This window comes from Homo sapiens, chromosome 8 (genome assembly GCF_000001405.40).
Source record: "Homo sapiens chromosome 8, GRCh38.p14 Primary Assembly".
Classification (NCBI taxonomy): Eukaryota; Metazoa; Chordata; class Mammalia; order Primates; family Hominidae; genus Homo; species Homo sapiens.
Window position 1 is genome coordinate 137,947,069 of NC_000008.11, and position 26,315 is coordinate 137,973,383.

Below are 26,315 nucleotides of genomic sequence, written 5' to 3' on the forward strand. Positions count from 1 at the left end.
AAATATTTGCATGCCCCCTGGAAAACCCCTAACTCAATTTTCTTTCTGGCAAGCATATTCTCTTTCAGCTGGGCTTTACTCAAAGTCTCATAAGGAGCCGCCGGAACTGGCAGCAGGTAGGCGTTTTAGGCACTGACACCTCATTAACAGGACCCATGTCTCTTCTTGGCATCTTTGTCCTTTCTTCTCTCCCAATATCACCTTTGCTGGCACACCCTGGCTATAATGAGCCACCTCCATCTGAAGAATCTAGCAGCTTTGCATACAGGGCAGGCAGGGCAGGGTAGCTCAGTGCCAGCTCTGCACTGGCTAACAACACTCTAGTTTGAAATAAACACAGGAAGCTGCGACACAAAAATGTATTGACTAATGTCATCTCCCACCCCTGCAGTAATCTTACATCTGTTTTCTTGGGAATCGAAGATTTTTTTTTTTTTTTGTGAATGCTGGATAACTATGTCATTCTAGAGAATTTACCAGGTATATATATATATATATATATATATATATATATATATATATATATATAATCACTTTATTTGTCATCATTTTCTACCAGTTCACTGTCCTATCCTTTTATTCTTAACATCTTGCTTAATTTGAAGTATGGCACTAAAAAATTAGTGGGAACAACTACTCACTCTATTATGACATGGAAGGTATAGGATGAAATGGTGACCAGGGTATTGAGAAAAAGATCTATGTAGAATAATCGGTTCAGCCATCTTATTCTTTGGAAGAAAACAAAAATGAGTCTCCTCCTGTCCATTCCTGGGCTGTCCAGGAATGTCCCTGGGCTGTCCCTGCTCTAAAACACTCAGGAGGCTTGCCTTGCATTTCACTTTCCGGAAGTCTCTTTAATTACCTTCTCTTCTACCAGGCTATCAGTGCTTCTACATTATAAACAGTCTTGTTTTCCTATACCCAGTCAGCAGCCAACAGAACTAGGCACATAATAAAATTAAAAGCTACATTTATGCAGTACCACATGCCATCAATGACTCTAGGGGCTTTAAGTGGATTCTCTAATTTATCCTTCATATTTCCCTCCACAGTGGATGATATGATATCCCCACTGCACAGATGGGGAGCAAGTATAGCTCAGAAGCATCAAAGCCAGTGTTGCAAACCAGGGTGTCTGGCTCAGGAGCCCATTCTCTTAATCACTAGTTTCTACTGAGCTCAAGAAACATATACTTGGGGACTTAAAGGCAGGGGAAGAAGGTTAGCCTAAAAATAAAATATTTTTCAGGCACATTCTAGCTAGAGGGAGCTACATCTAAAGGATGGCTGTGTGAAGAATTGAAAAGTCTTGTTCTAGTAAACTCAAAAAAAAGTTAAAATAAAACAAAGGCAACTGGTTCTTGAGATGCAGATTTTGGCTCAAAATAAGGGAGAACTTTCTAAAAGTCAGAACTATCAAAGCAAGGGATCAACTGAAGAGTGTCAGATTCTATGGTGCTGGGGATTTCACACATTGTAGAAGAAAGTTTGTCAGAGATCCTGTGGAAAACTTTTGCATACTGGCCAGAGATTGGAGGACCTCTAAGGTTTCGTGCAACTCATTTCAACATGCATGGAATGCACGTGCCTAGCAATAATTAGTTGATTCCTAGTAAACATTTGTTAAATAAATGGAGGAACTATGTTTGCCCTGACAAGAGAGGAGGATGCAGAATGCACCCCATGGAATTATAAATTCTGGAGTCAATCCATATTAGGTGTCCAGTACTTCCCAAACTCTGCTACTTGGTAGTTCCTATAAAATCATTTATCGATATTCTTCTCAAGGCTCAGTGAACAGAAATGTCTCCTAACAGCAGCCATTGCTAACATGAATTAAGTGCTCCCTAGTGGTAGGTCCTGGATATTTGCATATATCATCTCATTTTACTGTTGAATGACAGAATGAGGTTGATATCATTTATTGGCCCCATTTTACAGACAAAGAAACTGAGGTTAAGTAACCCACCCAAAGCCACAGAGCTAGTAAATGAAGTCAGAATCTGCATTCGAGCCCCAGAGCCTGTACTCCTATCCACTGCATTAGAGTAATCACCATCATGATTCTTAGGCAACTACTCTGTATAGGAAGTGCATGAGGTGCTTTATGCACCGCAACATCTAATCACCACACCAAATACATAAGACGAATACCACACCTCTGATTTTAAAGTCAGAGAGTTCAAATGATTAACCAAAGTTACACAGCAATTAAAGGGCATGGTCAGGACACAGCTTAGTTTTGCCTACGCTATGATCCTAGTGGAACTGAATATTTTGGAATGCAGTGCTGGAGATTGGGAGCATTTTTCCCACTCTACATTTTGTCAATGCTTTAGCTTATTTGGTCCTGCCTACCCTTTAAAACCCAGTAAATATGTCACTACAATTGAGCACTTTCCCCTTTTTTCTCCTGCCCTAGAAATACACAATTAACTTCTCCTGGTTTGTTGGAATATCTACAGTACTGACAAATAGACATTTTTTTATGGTGGTCGTTTGCTTCTAGAAGATATATATATATTTTACTGTATGGATGTCTAAGTCCATTTGGGCTCCTATAACAAAGTGTCATAGGCTGAGTGACTCGTAAACAACAGAAATGTATTTCTCATAGTTCTGGAGACTGGAAGTCCAAAATAAAGTTGCCAGCAGATTCAGTGTCTGCTGAAGGTCCAGGTTCATAGACAGTCATTTTCTCACTATAGCCTCACATAGCAGAAAGAGCAAGGGAACTCTCCAGGGTCTCTTTAGTAAGGACACTAATCCCCTTCATGAGGGCTCTGCCTTCATGATCTAAAAGCCCCACCTCCTAATGCCAATATAGTGGAGGTTAGGATTTAGCATATACATTTTTGGAGAAGACATAAACATTTGATTTATAGCAAATAAGATCACATTCCACTTACTGACTTATAATTTTTCTTTTATCACTTAACAATATAAGATCAACATTTTCTGACACCATTATTTATTTATTTTTATTTTTATTTATTATTATTATTTTTTGAGAAGAGTCTCACTCTGTCACCCAGGCTGCTGCACCAGGAGTGCAGCAGCGTGATCTCGGCTCACTGCAACCTCCACCTCCTGGGTTCAAGTGATTCTCCTGCCTCAGCTTCCCAAGTAGGTGGGATTACAATCATGCACCACCATGTCCGGCTAATTTTTTTTTTTTTTTTTAGTAGGGACAGGACTTCACCATGCTGGTCAGGCTGGTCTGAACTCCTGACCTCAAGCAATCCACCTACCTTGACCTCCCAAAGTGCTGGGATTACAGGCATGAGCCATCGCGCCTGGCCACCATTATTTTTCTATTACATCATTTGTAATAGCAACATAATACACCATCTGAATTTGTACTATAATTTAGTAATAAATGCCTATTATTGGGTATGTATTTTTCTCTTTTTAATATAAAAATTGCTGGAATAAAGTCCTTTCTGAACAAATAGTTACACACATCTCTCTGTGTGTGTGTATGTACACATATGGTATAGACTCTTAGGAGAGGAATTGCTAGGGTCAAAGTAAATGAACGTTTGAATCTCATGATTTGTGTTACCAATCGCCCTCTGAATTCTGCCCATTTCCAATCCCAACAGCAGGGTATGAGAAAAATCATAGTCCAGACTCTGAGCAACAGAGTTTTAAAACTAGTAACCCTTTTTTTTTTTTTCTTTTTTTTGGTCAAATTGATAGATGACTTCTTTCTTTCTTCTGCCCTAGTATGTATTTACACTTCTTTAAGACATTCCTTCCAATGCTTTAGAGCTATTAGATTCTTGTGCCTCCACTGCTAGCGTACAAGTTCCTTAAGGGCAGGAATCACATAACTCACTCATTCTGTAATCCAACACCCAGCACGCAACCTGCTTCGTAGTAGATGGGCAGCAATGTCTACAAATAAAACCAAACTTTGCCAGTAGTTACTGGGAGTAATCAGCAAACAATCTCTGGAGAATTTAACCCTTTTTGTTAAGGTGGGATATGTGTGTCTGCAATGATGTGATGCTAGGGCTAACTTAGTCTCACTGCTCCAAGGTCCAGATTTTCAGCCAAACTTTCCCTGGAGAACAGTGCTCTAACTGAGCCGTCACCTTATGTCTGCTCATTGAACACCTGCAGCCTGCCTCTTCATATCATGTAAACATATCACCTCTTTTCTGAGAGAGGGACCCAGAAATTTACAAAATGTACAGACAAGTTGCCTTCAGTGTTTCAACTTCAAAAACTTTTATTCTTTAACACTACAACTTCAGAAAAGAAGCTTAACTTCTTTTGAGACATTTTTGTCACCAGAGTGAAGATAATAATAGTACTACTATACTAGGGGTGACTTATACCTCCCCATATGGAATGAAGCCACTCTCCAGGTGCAGGTTTAGGGGCTAATGTATATTTCCAGTATCACTGAGACCTCTTTAACAATCACTGCTAAGATATCGCGCATCCCTACTAGGCAATTTACCCTAAGGGTATTTAGATGTACTTCATTTCACTCACCTCAATTACTCAAATTTGTCTCAAAATATTCTACAGCATGGACATTTTGCTACATGTTTCCACCCTTTGCCAGAATTATTAATTCATCAATTCACTCATTTGTTTTAAAAATAGCTAACATTTATGGAATATTTACCATCTGCCATGCATTGTGCTAAATGCCTTACATATGGTATATTATTTAATCCCCACAAGAGTGCTATTAGGTAGCTACTATTATTATCTTCACTCTGATGAAAAAATTGTCACCAGAAGTTAAAGATCTTTCCTGAGGTTGTAGTGTTAAAGGATAAAAGAACTAGCTCCAATCAGGGACATTGGATTCCAGTGCCCATGCTCTTAAACATTATACTAGCCAACAAATATGTAATGAAATGTACAACGTGCAAACCTCTCTGCTAAATGCCATCATTGTTTACACAGTTATTCCTACTTGATCTCTCTTGTGTGAGATATTATATTTCAGTGACCTTATGTGAGGACTGACTGCTTTCTGCTCACAGTTGCAATATTCATGTGACATTTATTTCAGAATGTGTTTTGCATCTCGTTTGAAAAAAATTAAATTTTTCCATGTGTTAGATATTGGTCTCATGCACTAAACACCCTGCTTTAGGTACTCATTATTGTTCATCTAATTATTGGAAGCCTCATAATCAGTCCCCAGTTTCTATCGTCTTTTTTTTTTTTTTGAGACAGTTTTGCTCTTGTTGCCCAGGCTGAAGTGCAGTGACGTGATCTCGGCTCACTGCAACCTCCGCCTCTCGGGTTCAAGCGATTCTCCTGCCTTAGCCTCCTGAGTAGCTGGAATTACAGGCATGCACCACCACACCTGGCTAATTTTGTATTTTTTAGTAGAGACAGGGTTTCTCCATGTTGGTCAGACTGGTCTCGAACTCCCAACCTCAGGTGATCCACCCACCTCGGCCTCCCAAAGTGCTGGGATTACAGGCGTGAGCCACTGAGCCCGGCCTCTGTCTTCTTAATTCTATTCCTCAGACTATTACCTAAGGTCTTTTTCTAAAATGTAAACCCAACCATATCACTTTCCATCCTAAAATCTTCCCATGACTCCTAAAATCCTCCGGTGTCTTTTCCTTTCCTTCAGGACAAGTTTCCCTTAGAAAAATACATTTGGGACAGGGGCAACACTGTCATGCAGAATGATCTTCAGCTTAAAAGTCACTTCATTTCATACACTCTGTCCTTGCTCTCTTCTCCTGTACGGCACCAGATCCTGTTTTTGGCTTCATTAACTCCTACTCATATTTTAAAGCTTAATAAACAGCTCTCCTAAACTCGAAGACATCCACCTACTTCCTTGGGTTGAGTAAATCACCTCCACTTTGTGCCCCCTCTTCTCTAGTTCTCTAATGCTGCTCTTTCTAGTACAGCTTTTATCATAATATACGTAATGCTCAATCAATGACACAACTTTTTTGACTTGTCTCTCATAAAGTCTGTGAGCTCTTGGGAGAAGGGGAGGGAAAATAATCTCATGTCTCTGTAACCACTTGGACCCACAGTAATGACTGACATTCCATAGGCACCCAGTAAACCATCCCATCCATGTTCCTTTGCCATTTAATGCAGGCGGACAGGGATGCTTCATCACTTATGGACCTCTTCCATGGCTGTGACAGCCAATCCACATTTCGCCATGGATATTTTTCCTTCTTTGTTTTTTTCTTATTTCTGTATCTGTAACTTTCTCTTGTGTTCTTTTACTCTGTTCTTTTTTACTCCATATACTTTTTCTCTTATATTAACTATTCTTCCATCATTTTCTCCATCTTTCCTCTCACCCTTTCTAAATGCATGCCTGAATATCTCAAATATTATTTGGCCCCTATAGTGTGCCAAACTCTTTACCAAATGCTGGAGATGGCTGTAGGTGCATAAGAAGTGTTGTCTGTCTCCTCAGATATTTTCATGCAATGAAGGGGAAAGTCAAGTGAGTAGGCATTTGTGATGCCATTTTATAGTAAAAATGATGGTAAGAAGGCTGCCCTCAAGGGCAGAGGTGGGCTCCTGATACAGGCCAGAAAGCAGGAGTCAGAAAAGGCTTCTTTGAGGGGATTTACTTTGCTGAGCCATGAACAAAAGGTAGCAGTTACAATGCAACTAGAAGAGGCATCCCAGGCAAAGGAGAGAGCATGAGGGAATGTGGAGAAATGAGTAATAGCCAAATTGGGTGCAAACATTGCCAAGAAATAAAGCTGGGAAGGGGAACAGAGCCATATCATGAAGGACCTGTATAGAGACAGTGAAAATGTTTCCATGTAATGATACATCATTCATACTAGCATTCCTGAAGTGTCATGTACCTTATAAGTGATTTGTGTCACTTACCTAATTTAATCTTCCCCTCAACACTTTGTGATAAGAACTATTATTTACTCCAGTTCAAGAATGGAGGAGGGCTATTAAGACAACAAGGTACCACTACACTCCTGTTAGATTTGCCCAAGTCCCCAAAACAGTAACAATACCCAATCTTGGAAAGGATGTGGAGCAACAGAACTCTCATATGAAAAATGATACAGTTGCTTTGAAAGACAGTTTGACAGTTTCTTACAAAACTAAACATACTCTTACCATATAATCCAATAATTGTACTTGTATTAGTTCATTCTCACACTGCAAATAAAGACATACCCAAGACTGGGCAATTTGCAAAGGAAAGAGGTTTAATTGGCTCACAGCTCCACAGGGCTGGGGAGGCTTCAGGAAACTTACATTCATGGCAGAAGGGGAAGCAAACATGTCTTTCTTCACATGGCAGCAGCACGGAGAAGTGAAGAGTGAAGGCGGGGGAAGCCCCTTATAAAAGCATCAGATCTCATGAGAACTCACTATCACGAGAACAGCATGGAGGTAACTGCCCCCATGATTCAATTACCTCCCACTGGGTCCCTCCAATGACATGTGGGGATTATGGGAACTACGGTTCAGGATGAGATTTGGGTGGGGACACAGCCAAACCCTATCAGTACTCCTTGGTATTTACCCAGTGCAGTTGAAAACGTATGTCTACATAAAAACCTGCATGCAGAAGTTAATAACAGCTTGATTTTAATTGCCACAATTTGGAAGTAACCAACATGTCTTCAATGGGTGATTAGCGAGATTAACTATGGTACACATGTCATTGGATTTAGGGCATACTCTAATCTAATATGATCTCATGTTAACTAACTATATCTGCAAAGACCCTGATTCCAAATAAGATCACATTCTGAGGTTCTGCTATAACATGAATTTTTCAAGGACACTAGTCAACCTACTATAGTTCACCATCAAAATTTATGTCCATCCCATGTGCAAAATACATTTACTTCAACCCAGTGTTGCCCAAACTCAACACATGCATTCCAGCATTAACACTAAATCCAAAATCTCATCCAAATATCAACTCAAAAGGTTTCAAATCTTACCATCTAAACCATCTAAAGAAGGCATGGGTGAGACTCTAGTTTTAATATATCCATTGGCAAAATTCCTTCCCATCTGTAGACCTGTAGAATTAGAAAGCAAGTTATCGTCTTTCAAAATACAATCGTGGCATGGGCATAGGAGAGAATTCCAGTTCCGAAAGGTAGAAAATGGAAGAAGTAAATGGGTTACTGATTTAAAAAAATTTCACACCTAATAAGGTGAGAACAACTTGATATCATTCATAGGAAACCCACAAAACTTTTAAAAGCGTTCAATAGGTGAAAACCCTGGCAGCTTGGATGAAGGGAATGAACATAGTTCAAACTGGATTCTGGATTGCCAGTTCTTTACAGGCAGCTATGAAATGAGATTTTATTATGGAAAAGAAAGAAGAAATATCAAAGGGAAGAGCCAATTTCCCAGAAGGTAGAACTCAAGAGTCCAGAGAGTGGAGCCAAGTGCTGAGAATAGCAATGTACCCAAAAACCACTCAGGGGAGCAGAGATGGAGCCTATTTAAAAGTACTTCCTTGTCCTCAGCATATATGGCTGTTACAATATGGACCCATCTAGACTGCAGATTTGCTGTGGACCTGTGATTACAATGTACCTCCTGTCCCTATTTTAATCAGAGTGCCTGTATTTTATTGCTTCTAACCATTGTGTTTTGGTGGTGGGCAATTTATTTGTATTTTACTTAATAGGTATCTGGATCACAAAAGGGATCACCACAGCAAGCCTCATCCTTATTCACATATGATGCAGATCATGAGATTCTGGATTTCAAGCCAACTCATCTAAGAGGGATGAGAGTTTTGAAGGTCCTGCGATTTAGATAAACTTAACTTGAATGGGGGAAAATGTGAATAATTCGTAATGATAAGAAAGACTCTGATAGATTTAAAAAATTACTACAAATTCCTCAGTATGTCTTTCTCTTTGCAATGTGACATTGTGGCTTCTCCAATCATAGAGTGGAGTCTATTTCTTCATTCACTTGAACAGTCTTGTGATTTGATTTAATAGAAGGTTGGCAGACGTGACATGGTGGGTATTCTGAGCCTAGGTCTCAAGAGGCCTGATAAGTTCTGTGCTAGCTCCTCTACTGCCCTGAGACTTTCATGTGAACAAGTCTGATCTAACCTGCTGGAGAGGCCATGCAGAAAATGGCCCAGCCAACAGCCTGTACCAACCACCAGACACTGAAATGAGGCCATGCTGGACAATACTGTCCCAATGTAGTCATCAGGTGGCCACAGGCAAATGAGCACTCACAAGCTAGACTAGTAAGCAATCAGCCCAGCTGCACCCAGCCCAAATTGCTGAAGTGATTTTGAGCAAATTAAATGCTTGTTATTTTAAGATAAGAAGTTTTGGGGTGGCTCATTTTATAGCATTGGACATTAAAATACATTTTCTAATGCAAAGGAAATAATTAGAAAAAAACTAAGGGAGTTTGATATTTATAGAAATTTAGGCTATTCCTTATATGACTTTTATATAGATAAATTTTATGTAGAAAGTTAGTATCAATTTCCAGTACTTTTCTGATTTATTTCATATATGGACAAAGTATACAAGCAATATATACCTGCATATCAGAACTTCTACAATTGTTTTTACACTACACTTTGTTCTTACACTCTTTCAAGAGCACAATTACAGGGAGAAGTTTGCATTCTGGGTACATTATATGTACCATAGTTAATCTAGCTAATCACCCATTGAAGACATGTTGGTTACTTCCAAATTTTTTCTTTTTCTTTTTCTTTCTTTTCCTTCTCCTTCTTCTTCTTCCTTTTTTTTTTTTTTTTTCTGCTGGTCTGGCTTATGATCTTTAATGCAGTTTAATGCAGTTGTAGTCACATGGTAGGACCTGAAATTATCTGGAGGCTACCCAGACTAGACATCCAAGATGTTTTCTTTCCTCACTAGTATCTAACATCTTAGGGATTCTTGGTCTCATTCTCTCAGTCCACATGGTGTCTTATCCTTCATGAACTATCAATAAGATGAGCTTCTCATGGCATATTTGTCTCAGGGACACTTCTTACATAGTGAGTGGTTTCCACGAGGCAAGGAGTGAAACTTACCAGGCCAGTCAGCAACTACACCTAGAACTGACACAGCATCACTCCCATCTCATTCCACTGGCCAGAGCAGATGCTAAGTGGTAGATACAGAAACTCCCACTTTTGAGAGGCAAGGCAACGATTCAGAAGAACAGGCAAGATGATTAAACCATTTAAAAATATATAATCTTGTACAATTCCACAAATTAAATGTTTTTGTGTTTTCCTTTTGTTTAGTCTGTTATTAAAAACTAGATAGTATCTAATAATCACTCTTGTAGGTAGAGTAGGGAGTCTCGTGAAGTGAGACCCCACCCTTTCTTTGCAATTAAAAAGTTGATAATATCATTGGTGAATTTTTGTTCAAAAAGGATAAAGAAGTCAAATTAACTGAGCATCATCAATGTCTAGCAGATTTCTGGAATGTGGTAGAGGCATAACAAATATTTGTTGTAATATATTTGACAAAATGAAAACAATACAAACTGGTTATGTAAGCAGAGACAAGTCATTGAACTTCCCTGGGTTTCTATTTAGTAATCTGTAAGACGAAAAAGTTCCAAGAATCACAGATAATAAGAAAAATAAAACTGGCAATGGGCAATATTGCTAATATTTGTAGATTACAAAGACCAGTCATATTTATGTAGACATGAGTTGTTTGTCTCTCTGGAACGAATTCTAACTTCCCCATTTCTCAAAGGCCACTGATTTCCATTTTGGGATTCATATAGTTTTGAGGAAATTGACTTTATCTCAGGCTCCTGGAATACAGCCTGTCACAGAGGTTGGCCAATCAGTGTTTCTAGTCACATTGGACACATTGACTCATGGCGACCAAGTTTATCTAATAAGAGTTGATGTTGGGACTTATGCAGCCATATAGGTACATAAAGGAACCCAGTCTTAAGGTGGTAGCTCTCAGGAATATGCGCTTCCTCAGTCTTTTCCAACAGGAAATAGAAAACATTTCCTACATAGAAAACATACAACATATGTATCACTTTGATTGTTTCAGCTCATTGTCATAAGTCACTCAAACTTTTAATAATTTCCTGGCCTGCCTTAAGCCAGCTAGGAGTCATTTGAAATCAAAAGAGCCCACTGTGTTGCACACTAATACTCCATTCATGAGAACCTCTCCACCTTGTTGGGTGGTTTCTGACTCACTAGAAGAATCCTACAAAATTATAAGTCAAGTTTTCTCATACTGAAGAAGATTTAAGGGCCTTAGAGTAAAGGAGATCTAAGGTCCATTTCAAGGTCACCACTACTAAGTAGCAGAAAGTGAAACTACAGTTTTGTCTCTTTTTCTTTTTTTTTCCAACAAGAAAGACTGTTAGCCAAATGCAAGTTGGGAAAAGTCCAAGCTTTACCGCTGACAAGTCATGTGTGCTTCCTCTAGAATTTAGCAGATGGGGAGTCTGTCTTAGGTATTGCTATATTGCTGGCTTCAAGGGTATTGTAAGCCTTCAGTAAATAAAGAAATACTATTAGACAAAAGCTTTATTTTAGGCACATCACTTTTGTTTTTCCTTCTGAATGTTAGTATCCTCAACTTTAGTGTAGAGATAATGACTGCTAACTAACAGATATATAATAACTAAAGTAGTTTATACACAGTATTCTATATAGTACCTAAATAAAAAACAATGGTTATGTAATAGAGGTTAGTTCACTGTATGTCAGTCCACTAAGATTCCACACCATCTGCCTCTATGCAACTTTCTATCTACATAGAATTTTCATTGAGAACTTCTTGTTTGACTTTGAATTGGGGCCAGTTGGATTTTCTGTCACCAATTTTTCCACCTTGGTCTCATTCATTATTAACAGCAGTGACCCCTGGCATCTCAAAGAGTGAACATTAATGGCAATGGGTTTTAGTTACAAAAGCCAAGGTTACAGTTGTTAGAGCTCAGGGTAATTTTCATTCCTAAGTTCATTAAATTCTTAAAAGTGGAAAGGTCAATAGTGATTTATTCCACTGCCAACCATCTCAATGGCAATTCTTTACAAACAATTTTTCTGTCTTGACATATGGCGAGACTAATAGCCAATGAAGCTAATTGCATAAGGCAGTGAGTTGACTACTTGGATTCATTTTTAAAAGTAAAATCTGATATTATATACAAAAAAAAAAAGATGTTCCCAAGGCCCTCCACCTGAACGATGAGGACAAAAAGTGAGAACAAGGTGAGATCCTGCTGCCTTGGTAGTTATGGCTAATTTTATGTGTCAACTTAACTGGGCTAAGGGAAACCCAGATAGCTGGTAAAATACTAATTCTGAGTGTGTCTGTCAGGGAGTTTCAGGCATAAATTAGCATTTGAATTGGTAGACTGAGTAAAAAAGATTAGTCTTCACCAACATGCATGGGCTTTACCCAATCCATTGAGGGCCCAGGTAGAACAAAATGACTGAGGAGGGGTGAACTTGCTCTCTCTGTCTGAGCTGAAACATCCATCTTCTCCTGTTCTTGGACATTGGAGCTCCTAGTTCTCAGGATTTCGGACTTAGGCTCAGAGTTACACCCCCAGCTCCCCTGGTTCACAGGCTTTTGAATTTGGACTGAACTATCGCAGAAGCTTTCATGATTTGCCAGCTTGCAGAAAGCAGATGGTGAGCCTTCTCAACTTTCATAATTGTGTGAGCCAATTCCCATATCTCTCTTTCTCTCTGTCTCTCCCCCCGCCCCTCCTGTAATGCACTTGGCCATCTTGTATCTCAGCATCAAGAACACTGTAGGGCTTATGTGCTAACTGCATGAACACGTAAAGCTAAGATTTTAGTCATGGCTTTGCCTCATGTTGACTAAAATAGGAATAAAAAACAGCATGTAGATAATTCTTGGGAGCATATGCAGATGGGAGAAAATTCACAAGATGTTTTACAAGTACAACCTTAGGAGGGAGAAGGGTGCTAAGACAAAGTATATGCAGAGCTTAGCATTAACCTCATCGGCCAATGATGTGAGAATGATGGGTGCCATAAGAAAGCATACACACTTGGAGCCAGGCTTGACTCCTCTCACCTTGTTGTGTGTTGCAGATCACGGAGATTATGGGCAGGGGGAGAAGTGGTGAGATTAACCAAGCTTCAAACTGAGATACTCCCATGCTGTTGCGAGAGCTAAGTAGGCAAATAGGTTATCTAAAGACTCCCTGTCTCAAACATACAACTCATTCTACCCGAACCACGAACGGAGTAAAAATCATTCATCTTTTATCTGGTCTGGAAATAAGTCATTCAATTTTCCCTTCTCCAAGCATCTTCATCTACAAGATGGAGGTTTTCTTCCCTCTTTCCTCTCTCCCACTCCCTCTTCCTTCTCTTCTTCCTCTTTCTCCTCCTGTTCTTTATCCTCCTCCTCCTCCCTCTGTTTCTTCTTCTGCTTCTTTTTTTCTTCCTTTCTCTCTCTCTTCCACTTCTCATGCTCTCTTATTCATTCAGAAAATGAACATAAAATTCTACTTGTGCTAGGCACAAAAAATATACAAGTGAATAAAAAACAATGTTTTTCCTATTACTTCAGACTTTCACTTTCTAGTAGGGTAAGAAATTAAATCGCATAAGCAAATACATAATATAGAAGGATTATAATAAGAAAACACAAAAGGAGATTCAGATAGAGAAATCAGAGTGAAAGTCACTTCAAATTGAGTAGTCTAGGAAGATCTCTGTCTGGAAGTAACATGTGAGGTGAGATTTTAAAAAGATGGCAACGATTATTTTCCTAAAGTGAGAAAGATAAAATGCTGAGTTAAATTAAAATAAACAGTTTCAAAGCAACATAGGCAGGGGAGGTAATGGAACAAATGATGATTAACAAATAGACTGGGGACAATCATGTAGAAATGTATAGTTTCTTAGGCCAGAGGGAAAAAACACTTTAAAAAAATAGCACAACAGGAAGACATAAGAGTGTTGAAGGAGTGGCCATGAATAGCTTGCATTTTGGAGCCTTGGTTACTGCTGCTGAGTGTAATGGATCCTATGTTGGCTAAAATGGAAACAGGGAGATTAGGAGGATGTTACAGTATTCCAGTAGGAGAAGAAGGGTGGTTTAGAAAAAGTGGCCATTGCAGATAAAGATAAATGGAAGGATTCAAGAACTTACTGATTGATTGGATGAGGAGGCAGGAGAGAAAGTAATACCAAGAATAGTTCACTTTATTCACTGTGACCAGGCGATCGCTGCTCATTTCCAGAGAAGTGTCCCAAGTAATTGTTAAGAATCTTTACGGAAAACAGGAGCCTATACAAACACATATCACTGAAGACTCAGATAAGATTTAAGATATTCCTTTGCTTGGCCTCAATATCCAGAATTGCATTATTTTGTTCAGCAGCCATTGAAGTGTAAACACAATAAATATGTTTTGCTACTGACCTATGTTTGGAATTTTGTGGGCCAGTAAAGACAGAAAGAGATTGATGCTAAGGAAGTGAAGAGAGAATTAATGAGAAAGGACACAGCTCAGATGAACTGGCCAAGGCTTCGGATTAGGGAGGAAGGAAAAAGAGTACGAAGCATTACCCAGAGGGAGAAACATGAGAAATAATGGGACTAATGTCTCATTGCCCATGGTACATATAAAGGAGGGAGATGACTGGAAAGGCAGATTACGCTCAGAGAGGGAGACATTTGCTTGACATTTTAGTTGTTAGCAGTTCTAGATAAGAGATTTTAAGATGTGGTGGGGAGAATGTAATGAAAATACAAATGGAAGTGCAGTTGGTTGGGGCTGAGGAAGTGGAGGAAGCAAAAGGCCAGAATGAGAGCTTCAGGATGCACTTGGGCACTGCTGTCTCCTGCGATGAAGACTTGCAGGAGCATCTTCAGTCAGTGGATGAGGTTTCTGGAAAGCCAGGGGAAGCAACACAGTCATAATGTCTGGCAGTATACCAGTATAGTATGCTATAAAAAATGGGGGGCTCATTCCCCTAGCAGTTTACAAATAGGGGCTTAGTGACTACTTACTGAGTAAATGAATGTATAAATTTATCATCTTACAAACACCTATTTTTGCTTCTATATGTAAATTATGACTTACTAAGTAGGACTTTGGCAGTAACCCTGATTACTCTTTCTTCTCCTCTCTTTTAACCTGGTTGGATTCTGTTAATAAACCATATTTAGCTGAACCCTTTGTCCAGTATGTTAGTTTTTAAAGGTTGCTGATATGGTTTAGCTATGTCCCCACCCAAATCTCATCTTGAATTGTAGTTCCCATAATCCCCAGGTGTCATGGGAGGGACCAAGTGGGAAGTAATTGAATCATGGGGGTGGTTTCTTCCATGCTATTCTCATGATAGTAAGTTTTCGTGAGAGCTGATGGTTTTATAGGGGTTCTGGGTTCTCATTCTTCTCTCTTCTGCTGCCATGTAAAGAAGGGCATGTTTGCCTTCCTTTCCGCCATGATTGTAAGTTTCCTGAGGCCTCCCCAACTATGCTGAACTGTGAGTCAATTCAACCTCTTTCCTTTATAAATTACACAGTCTCCGGTATTTCTTTATAGCAGCATGAAAATGGACTAATACAGCTGCTATAACAAAGGAGCACAGATTGGATGGCTTCAATAAGACACATTTATTTTCTTCAAATACAATCACATGGCAGTTTAGGGCTTCAACCATTGAATTTTGGAGGGACACAATTCAGTCCATAACTCCCAAGATAATGATCTTATCAGAAATTCTTTGCCTTGCTTGTTACTCATTTAATCCAAGAAAGAAATGATTAATTAAGCACTTAATTTGTACAAAACCCTGAGCATGGTCATCCAGGCATGCACTAAAAGGTGAGTAAAGTGTAATCTCACTCTTCATGTAGAGAATGAAAATATAATAGATGTTGTAATAGGTATGCCAGGTAGACTTTCCAAACAGATCCAACTTTCATTTTAACTTGGTTGGAAACACACATGCTCTAGAGGGGGCAGCCCTTGATGCCACGAAGCTCGAATCCAGCTATGCTCACTGGACTAAAGGTGGATACAACACCCACCCCAAACTGGGTCAATTAAAGATTTATTGGGGATTTCATGTGGGGTCCAAAGGTTATCACAGATAATTGGAGTTGTCCACATGGCAGGCACGACATGGTGTGAAAGGAAAAGGTGTCCTAAAATGTATATTTTATTTTACCTATTTTATACATAAGGAAAATGAGCCTCAGAAAAATGGAATAAGTTATTCAAGATCACTACAGATTTATATAAATACATATATTTAAATGATTTTTATAATATAGTATATATTATAATAATATAACATATAATTATGTATGTTATTAATATATTATAATGCTTATTTTGTATATATACACATATATACACATGTGTATATTTTAATTTTTCAATGCCTTGGAGCTCAAAAGTGACTTAAATTTAGATACCTCTAAGATGTATATATATGCTTTTCTCTGAGCACTTGCTTTTAATATGCTATTACAGCCAGAGTATTTTGAGGGCATTTTAAAAGATTTTGAAAATGCCTCATAGAATCTAATGGAATATAAATATTATCCATTGCTTACAAGCCTGAACTACAGTAATATGTTCAAGTATTACTTCCTCACCTCATTACCACTTAATTGAATTAAAGCTAAATTTGTATTTATGCTGTGTAATTAGGAATTACAGGTAAGGGACAGGAACATTCTTATTAGTAGCCATCTGTTTGTAAAGAAGTGGCAATAACAGAATTACTAGGAATTCAATAGTGAACGTACACACAAAGAAAATCAGTACTGGTGGCTCATGCCTGTAATCCAGCACTTTGGGAGGCTGAGGAGGGCAGATCATGAGGTCAGGAGATCGAGACCATCCTGGCCAACTTGGTGAAACCCCATCTCTACTAAAATACAAAAAAACCCACAAAAAATTAGCTGGGCGTGGTGGCACACACCTGTAGTCCCAGCTACTCAGGAGGCTGAGGTAGGGTAATCACTTGAACCTGGGAGGGGGAGGTTGCAGTGAGCTGAGATCATGCCACTGCACTCCAGCCTGGTGACAGGGCAAGACTCCATCTCAAAAAAAAAAAGAAAGAAAGAAAAGAAAATCAGTACTGAAATGATGGTACATTGATTGTTTCGGTGAAGATGAAGAGATGGTGGCATAGAGGCTAAGAAGTCATGGAGCTACTTAGCAGTACACCTGGGCTAGAACCCCATTTTATCAGCCACCTGGCTTGAAATTTATTTTTCTTTCTAAAACACTTTCCTCCCAAATGCCCAAAAGACCTATGTCCACTGGGCCCATTCAATAAATGGTTGAAAGTTGAGTGAGCTGTCAGATTCACAAGCAAGTCAACCAAGGATTAAGGAGATCAGCCTCATCACAAAGACTTTTCAGAGAGCAGCTTGATTAGAATTGATCAACAGTCCTTCTGCTCTGAGAATAAATGACACTCCTCTTCAAAGAACATTAATAACTGATTTCTCTCTCTCATTTTCCTCTCTTAATATTTTTCTAGCAGTTTTTATGTCACTGGCATAGCATTATCATTGGCATCCAGCATCTCTTAGTTAAGCTTAGGGGTAATGCCCATCTTAATAATTAGCAAAATGGAGACATAAAGGACTCAAGTGACTTGCCCAAGTTAATACAGAGTTGAAACCCAACCCAGAGATACGGCCATCCGGATCACTCACTCGTCAACAAGAACAAATATCTAGGCAGTGATAAAAACATTAAATGACAAGATAATTAATGATGAGCTATACCACGCCAGAAATGAATAAAGATTTCATGCACATCCTCATTTACGCTTACATCAACTATCATTCATTTCATAACAGTTTCATCAACATCCACCACGTGCAAGCCACTGTGCTGGGTTTGAAACGGTCTACGGTGCAATGTTGTGTTGTACCTTAGGCTCAAATCCTTGCCCTGCTCTTCACTAGCTGTGTGACCTTGGGTAAAAACTTTAATATCTGCAAATTTTCTTATCTGGAAAACAACAACAACAATAACACTTACCTCTTAGCATCACAATGATAAGTACAACATCCAAAATGATCTGTAAATTCACTGACATGGCAAATATCTGAATGAAGACTCAAAAGAAGTCACCATGATGGGCAAATGGATAAAGGAAGGCTGATATCATTATCGGAACTATACAGAATAAAAGGCAAGATTCTTGTTCTCAAGAAATTTTGTCTTAAGGAGTTAAGTAGTGATGATCACTCATACAAGGAGTAGTTGACAAGAGCCTTCTTGTGACTGAGACAAAATAGTGTGGGAACATGGAGAGATTTTTTTTGGTTTGTGCCTTTCTAGAGGACTTCAAAAAGACTGTAGTCTCAAGCAAGACCTTGAAGGATAAGTATAATTTGACAAACGTGGGGAAGATGGGCACAGTGAGTAAAAGGAATAAAATAAATGATGGTATAGGAATGAAAAAAAAAGGTAACTGGCAAATATTAATTAATTGGCCAAGCTTATTGGAACAGAATACGTATCTAGTTGAGGCTGATGTTAAGACTAAATAGGAAAGTCAGGGACAACACAGAGATTCTCCAAGGCAGATTAGGGAAAAGACCTGTCCAACAGGCCTTGCGCAAAGGAAAAGGCACCATTCACATGCTTCATCTCTACCTTCACTCCTTCCTCCCGTGATGGCAGCTGGCTAGAGGTAAATTGTGTTCAGAGCCCTGTGTCTCGTTTTTATGATTTATTATTTCAGTTTTTCAGCAGGGTGAGAATATAGAGTTTGCTGGATGGCACATACTCAGGGAATTTATGTTGCATAGCTAAACATCATGTCTGTCTATCTCTTCCCAGTAATCTCCGATAATACCCAAATGGGCTTTTTATTTTAAACATCTGGACAGCCTTATGGTGGTTGAGAATTAAGGTGCTGAGTGAAGAAAACAGTGCAGTTATAAAGTCTGTCGGATAAACAAAGCTTTCTCTGGAACATTAACTCCTTTCCTGAGAAATCTTCTCTGTTCCTCAAAATGCACTTAGTAACTTTACATCTTCATCTCCAGGTACCACTTTTCTTTTGCAAATACTCTCATGGCATTTAATGGGGCCATTAAGGTAGGAAACTATGGGATATTAGCATAAAAAGAACATTGCCAGAAAAAAAAAAATTGCAAAATGCTTTCTCTCACACACACTCTCACCACCCCCACGCCTTTGAAGTTTGCTTTTGTTTTATAACAGCAGAAATTCCCATTGTGGGTGGTAATTTTTGCTAGATAATAACTCTGTTGACACTGCCACACACTGGCAAAAGTTGTGTAACTCAGGAAAAGGTGAGAGACTGAAATGGAATATAATCAGATAGTTTTATTTGTTTTTAATACACACAGCCATTCAATAAATAAAGGCTGTTGGGTTTTATCTTCCTTCTTAGAGATCTCTATGGCTTCTTCTCACTCTAGAATGGTGGAGAAGTATGAGCAGTCTTTGACACCTCTGAGCCTTTGCAAATGCGTGCCATCTGCTGGGTGCCCTCCTTGTCCTCAGTTTCCAGTAAACACTCCCTCACTCTCCAAGATTCAGTTCACATGTTTTCTTTAGTATGAGACTGTCTAGACCCCACAAGGGAGAGATGGAAGCTCCCTGCTTCAAGTTATCATAAAACCATACCAACACTTCTCACATGTCCTGTCATTGCATTTATAGGCATATGGCCCCAACCAGGCTAAGAGCAACAACTAGGGCTGGGGGTCGGGAGTGTGGATTACTTCATTCTTTATCACTATTTTCTGGTTACTTATACAGTGCCTACCACAGAGTTAGGCATTCAACATATATTTGTGTATTAGTTTTCCACTGATGCATAACAAGGTACCATAAACTTTGCACCTTAAAGTAACACATATTATCTTAGAGCTTTAATAGGTCAAAGGCCCAGGCAGGGCTGGTTGAGTGCCCCACTTTGGCTCTCACAATATGATAATCAAGGTATCATACAGGACTGAGTTCTCACGAGAGCCTCAACTCTGGGGAAGAATCTGCTTCAGGCTCACTAAGGTTATTGACAGAATTCAATTCTTGTAGCTGTAGGACTCATGTCAGCTTTCCTCTTCACAGCTAGCAAGAACAAGATAGCAGAGACAGTCCACTAACAAGGCAGAGTTTTCTATGGGATGATCACAAGAGCCTTGCCTCATCTTTGCACATTCTGTTGATGAGAAGAGAACCACAAGTCTCCCTTCATGGAAAGGGAGTATACAAAGGCATGAATAGCAGGAAGTGGGATCACACAGGCCCCCTTTATTGTCTGTCCATCACAGAATGTGTTTAACAAATCTCTAATCCAAATGAACTGCTTTGTTTTTTTCTAATCATAGCATGATTAAACCTAGTGTTGCTTCATGCCATGTCTTTTAGGTATTCAATGTCCTTTGCTTACTATCTGCCTCGGAATGCACAGGTTCTTACAGGGCAGAGTTCGTGTGTATCCTGTTAGGACTAAACTCTGACCTTTTTCTTCCCTTCTCCAAATTCCTATCTAAAAGGCCTGGGTAGTCACGCCTGTAAACCAAAAATAAAATCCAAAGGCCCCCACCCAACCATCTAAATGAACTCCCTCCTTGGCCAGGGCACTCCAAATTTAACCTGAAAGGCTGGTTCAGGCCATGACATGAGAGGGTGAGGGTGGGCATGCCTCATTATGCCCTCCTTGCTTTTGGAATTCAGGAAAAGCTGATCAGCATTTAACATCAACACAGACCTTAAGTCTGATAAGGAACATTGACAATCTATTCTCTCTGAAGCCTGCTACCTGCAGGCTTCATCTGCATGATAAAACGCTGGTCTCCACAACCCCTTATTGTAACCCAAACATTCCTTTCTATGGACAATAACTGTTTTAACAATTGCCAGTCATCAAGTTTTGAAATCTGTCTATAATCTGGAAGCCTCGCTGCTTCGAGTTGTCTCAGCTTACCAAACAGAACCAATGTATGTCTTAAATGCATTTGATTGATGTCTCAGGTCTTCCTAAAATGGATAAAAGCAAGCTGTGCCCCAACCACCTTGCGCACATGTTCTCAGGGTCTACTGAGGGCTGTGTCCCAGGCATGGTCCCTCATATTTGGCTCAGAATAAATTTCTTCAAATATTTTACAGACTTTGTCTCTTTTGGTTGGCATGCCCTACAAACATAAAGTCTCATCAGAGGGGTTTTATTCAACCCAGGATAATGTGGCTCACTTTGCAATGTAACTCTGGCATAGCCTCACATGAAAGGTCATGAAGGAAATCAAAATATTTTAACCCCAAATATGTTTCTTTGCCATATCTTGAAATAGCTCTGCAAAGCTGTCACTTGCAGGGAAAAACTACATTCTGTAGAGAATCCCCTTCCCTTTCCGGGGCTTTTTCCTCAATAAAAAACCTTAGCAAGGGCTTAGCATATGCTAGGTACTCAATACTAGGTGTCAAATAAATGATGTATTGAAGTAATGAAGAGAGCATGAGAGAGTGCTCAATCTTTGGTATGATTTAGGGGATAATTAGGCACTTTAAAAAAAAACAATCATAATCTATACTCTCTGAAGCCTGCTACATCTTCATCTGCAGGCTTCATCTGCAAAATGGAAACCTTGAGCTCCACAACCCCTTATCCTAATTCAGACACTCTCTTCTATTGATTCTAGGTCTTCAGACGATAACTTTACTCTTTCAACCAATTGCCAATTAGAAAATCCTTGAATCCTTCTACAACCTGGAAGCCCCCACTTTGAGTTGTCCCACCTTTATGGACCAAACCAATGTACATCTTACATGTATTGATTGATGTATTATGCCTCCCTAAATTGTATGAATTCAAGCTGTAGCCCAACCACCTTATACACATGTTCTTAGGATCTCTTGAGACTGTGACTCGGGTCATTAGTCACTCATAATTGGCTCAGACTAAATCTCTTCAAATATTTTACAAAGGTTGACTCTTCATTGACACCTGTTTGAGTACGTAGCCTATGTTAAGCCCTTGCTAAGCACTATGAATATATTGTTAAACAGGTGTGTCAAATGAATGAGTCAAATGTGTCAAATGAATGAGTTATTAATCAATGAAAGAGTATGAAAGTGTGCTCAATCCTTGGTACGAGTCATACAAATGTGAAACTTACCCTTCTTGAAGAAATATTTCCTTTCATATTCTTTAAGTATTGGCTTGGGGTGAATAAGATGCCAACTGCTACATCCTATGCCAGTAACTCAATTCTTTCTTTCTAAGGGCCTCTTCTTTAAAGCACCGCTGCATGGACAAGTCCCATAACAGGGGCTTTTGCCTCAGGCCAGAAAGACTGAAGTTATTCAAAGTATGAAATAGCCAGAAATAAAAGATAACTGAAAGAGAACTCTCAACTCTCCTGCAAAGTTTCTTCTAGGTCCTTGGATTTGCACCCTCTCTTCTTCCATGCCTTATACGCTCCAGCTTTGATTCCATTCTGCCTATCTTGTACACATTTATGAGTTTTCCCTGAGCCCTGGTTCATCCTTTCTTGTCTTGATTCTCTTGGACCAACTACCTTGTATAGCCCTAAAACCCCAATTCTCTAATCTTAGTCAATTTGTACTTCATTTTGACTTCCAGAAGTGCCCATAGGTGAGCAGTTACTTGGGTCAGGAATAACTGTGTCTGCTCTACTGCCAGCCTCCTAGGAGTGGCCTGATTCAACCTGGATAGGTCTTGTAGTTCCAAATCTGATGGCTCATCTAGAATCTCATCGCCTTCAAAGACTAAAGAAAACATTTTGAAAGGGGAAAGATGTGAACACTAACTATTTAGGTTTCTGTTCTTATCAGTGTCCTTTGATCCAAAGCTCTTTCAGACAAGGAAGGAATACGGTTAACATGCTACATATATAGACATCAATTTCAAACTTACAGAGTTAATATACTTCATAGATATACATCAATTTCAAACTTTCCTGATGTTTGCAAAAGAATGCAGATTATCATTTCCTTTCTTCTTTCATTTCCTCCTTCTTCATTCACCCATTATTCCACAAACAATAATGAATCGTTAGAAGAAAAATGAGTAAAAACAGATGGTAGAGGGAGGTTAAGCTCACAAAATACTGGTGCATTCCTCTACATTTCCCTGTCTTCCATGCAGTTATATTGGGTCCACATAATTTTATCCTGAAAAGGGATGTGTATTATTTGTATGTCATCTCTATTTCTAGAGCCAAGGCGCACCCTGTCCATTCCTTTCCTAATCTTCAGCAGTGACCTTGGAGAATGTATTTTGAGATGGTATAGTTGCAGGGTGAAAGAGCCTAAATTCCTAAGTTATTGCGAGGCCAAGCACAGCTCTGCAGAGCTGTCTAAACACCATAGGTCTTTGGGTGAACAAGAAAAGCTTTGATTGTACTTAGTGAAGGATATTACTGCAGCATAGATAAATGGCATACAAGAAAGAATTTCATACATATAGGAGAATTTCAAAGGTCAACAGTTTGACATCTGTATTGTCCTGAGCCAGAAATGAACTGAAAATGATCTCTCTCTCTGTCGCTCAACTATTTACCTATCTACCTCCAAACTATATACTATATATAACTATATATGTATATATCACCATCAACTATATATATATATATATATCACCATCAACTATATATATATATATATATATATGTATATTTTCCCTGAGCACATCTTGCTTGTTAATTATGCTTTTATATGCATTATTATGGGGATGATAGTCTATATGTTATATTTAGTCTAATGAAATAATTCTGTGAATAATGAGGTTTTAGAATGTATTTAACAAGTATTCAAATAATGCTTATGGTCTTTCATCTGGTCAACAACAGTAACCCCTCAACTATAGACATTTCTGTACATTATTAAAAACAGTGAATTCTGACAATTAAGAGTTAGGCATCATTCTCAGCAAACTAACACAGAAACAGAAAACCAAACACCACATGTTCTCACCCATAAGTGGGAGTTTAACAATGAGAACACATGGACACAGGGAGGGGAACATCACACACCAGGGCCTGTCAAGGGGTTGGGGGCAAGGAGAGGGATAGCATTAGTGGAAATACCTAATGTAGATGATGGGTTAATGGGTGCAGCAAACCACCATGGCACATGTATACCTATGTAACAAACCTGCACGTTCTGCACATGTATCCCAGAACTTAAAGTATAATAATAAAAATAAGAGTTAGGCACTATTGTGTCTATTACGCAGATAAGACAGAGGCACAGAGAAGATTTCATATAAGTGGTTAGTGGCAGACTTGGGATTTGGATCAGTCAACCTGGTTTCAGAGTCTGTGTAGTTAATTACTATTGTATGCTAGGCATCATAGCAGCAACTGTTCAGATTTACCCCAGAGTAAATATACCAGTTCATTTCATTTCATGTGAATGTATGCAGCTGCGTCAATATATTTGTCTGGTGGACACTGAGGAGACAGTGTGAACTAGAGAAACTAACTATGGTGCCTCTTGTCCCCCCATGTGAGTAGTAGGATGGCTCATATTCTGCTTTCCGAGCTGTCTCCTCCTCTGCCATCCTGTTCCCACTTCAGTCCTATGATATATGCCAACCTAATACTATCTGCATCTCCTGTGGTTTTTTAAATAGCCATATCACAGTAGCTATCCAAGGTCCAAATATCAAATCAGATGACTGTTTTCCTGGTCTCAGACTGGACCCTTCTGTTGGATTTGACACACAACACTCTCTCCTTGAGGAAATGCCTTTATAGTGTCTTCCTTTTGCATTATTCTAGTCTCTTTGTTGATATGTCTTCGAAGAGGTCTTGAGTTCTTCTCTAAACTTTTCATTACTCACTAGACTTGGATAACCTCTCTTCTCCAAAGGTCTTTTCTATCTGTAAACTTCTATACCTCTTCTCTAATTGAATCTGATTTTTCTTAATGAACTTGACCACTTTTATCCAATCACTTACATGATTCCTTCTCTTTTTTTGTGTGATGCCAAGTTCTCCTGATTCTCATGTGACCTCCCTAACAATTTCCCCAGCGTTCCTTTGATTGGTTTTTCCCCTTCCTCTCCTGCTTGACCTTTAATTACCAGCAAATCTTAGGTCTCTATCTTAAGTCCTCTTCTCTCCTTGGTCTACATATTTTGAGTTGTCCCTCCTTTATGGACCAAACCAATGTACATCTTACATGTATTGATTGATGTATTATCCCTAAATTGTATTAATTCAAGCTGTAGCCCAACCACCTTAGACACATGTTCTTAGGATCTCTTGAGGCTGTGACTTGGGCCATTGGTCACTCATATTTGGCTCAGACTAAATCTCTTCAAATATTTTACAGAGGTTGACTCTCCCTTAACACCTGTTTAACAATATATTCATAGTGTTTAGCAAGGGCTTAACATATGCTATGTACTCAATGGGTAAGTTCATTCCATTTCATAATAGTAAACTCCACCTATGAGCGTCTATGGCACAAATCTTTATCTCTAGATCTTTCCTGAACTCTGTAATGCCTATTTGAATCCCCTCTTATAAGTCTAGTTGATATCTCAAACTTCAATTTTCTAAAGCAGAATTCTTGAATAACCCTTCACAATTATTATTCCCTAATTTTTTCTTCTCTCCAATAAATTGTTCACATCCCTATTTAAGGCATTATCCTTCCTTACTGCTTCTCTCATACCTACATCCAATCCATCACCAAGTCTAGCCAATCTTGCCAACAAAACATATTCTGTTCTGATGAACTTCTCTCAATGACATTACTATTCCCCTAGTGCAAATTTCCATTATGTCTCACCAAGTGTATGAGAGCCTCTCAACTATATTCTCTGAGTCTTTTCCAGCTGCCTTAAATCATATTCTCACCAAAACAGCCAGCATAATCTTGTAAAAATATAACCCAACACATATCACAATCTCCTGATGACTTCTTATTACAAGTGATGGTTTGCCTTGGCTTATAAAGCCACAGTGGCTTATGACTTGGTCTTCAGAATCATTTGTGAAACTTTTTTTGATGATCAGATGCCTCTGTCCCACAAAGTATTGTGCAGTAATCTCATATTAGTCTTTTCCTTCGCCTTTAACATAATTACTCAATTCTACTGATTAAGTTACAAGATGAATGAAAGGGCTGAAGAGAACCTTAGCAGGAAAAACTGGAAAAGAAGCTGTTTCATGCTGAATGTTCTCTACCATCTTTTCTTGATGCACTCTTGTATTAACTATGCTTTGCCCAACACCTTGAGGGTTACCAGGTTCTGTGTGAACGTTGCAGCCTGAAGTCTAACTAACTCCACAGGACATCATTTATATGGAGTAAGTTACACAGAGCTCTTTCCC

At 39.0% G+C, this 26,315-nt stretch overlaps 1 long non-coding RNA gene across 1 annotated transcript in view, besides 1 other annotated feature; it reads right to left on the bottom strand.

Moving 5' to 3' along the window:
- The window catches only part of LOC401478 (uncharacterized), a 273,872-nt gene that overhangs the window by 137,395 nt on the left and 110,162 nt on the right, over positions 1-26,315 (bottom strand). The window lies entirely within an intron of this gene.
- Positions 20,505-21,069: an enhancer, noted in NCBI's record as "OCT4-NANOG hESC enhancer chr8:138979816-138980380 (GRCh37/hg19 assembly coordinates)". NCBI's record gives its function as "activates a minimal SCP1, AML or CMV promoter by ChIP-STARR-seq in primed H9 embryonic stem cells {active_cell/tissue: H9 hESC(primed)}" and the evidence as "EXISTENCE:reporter gene assay evidence [ECO:0000049][PMID:30033119]".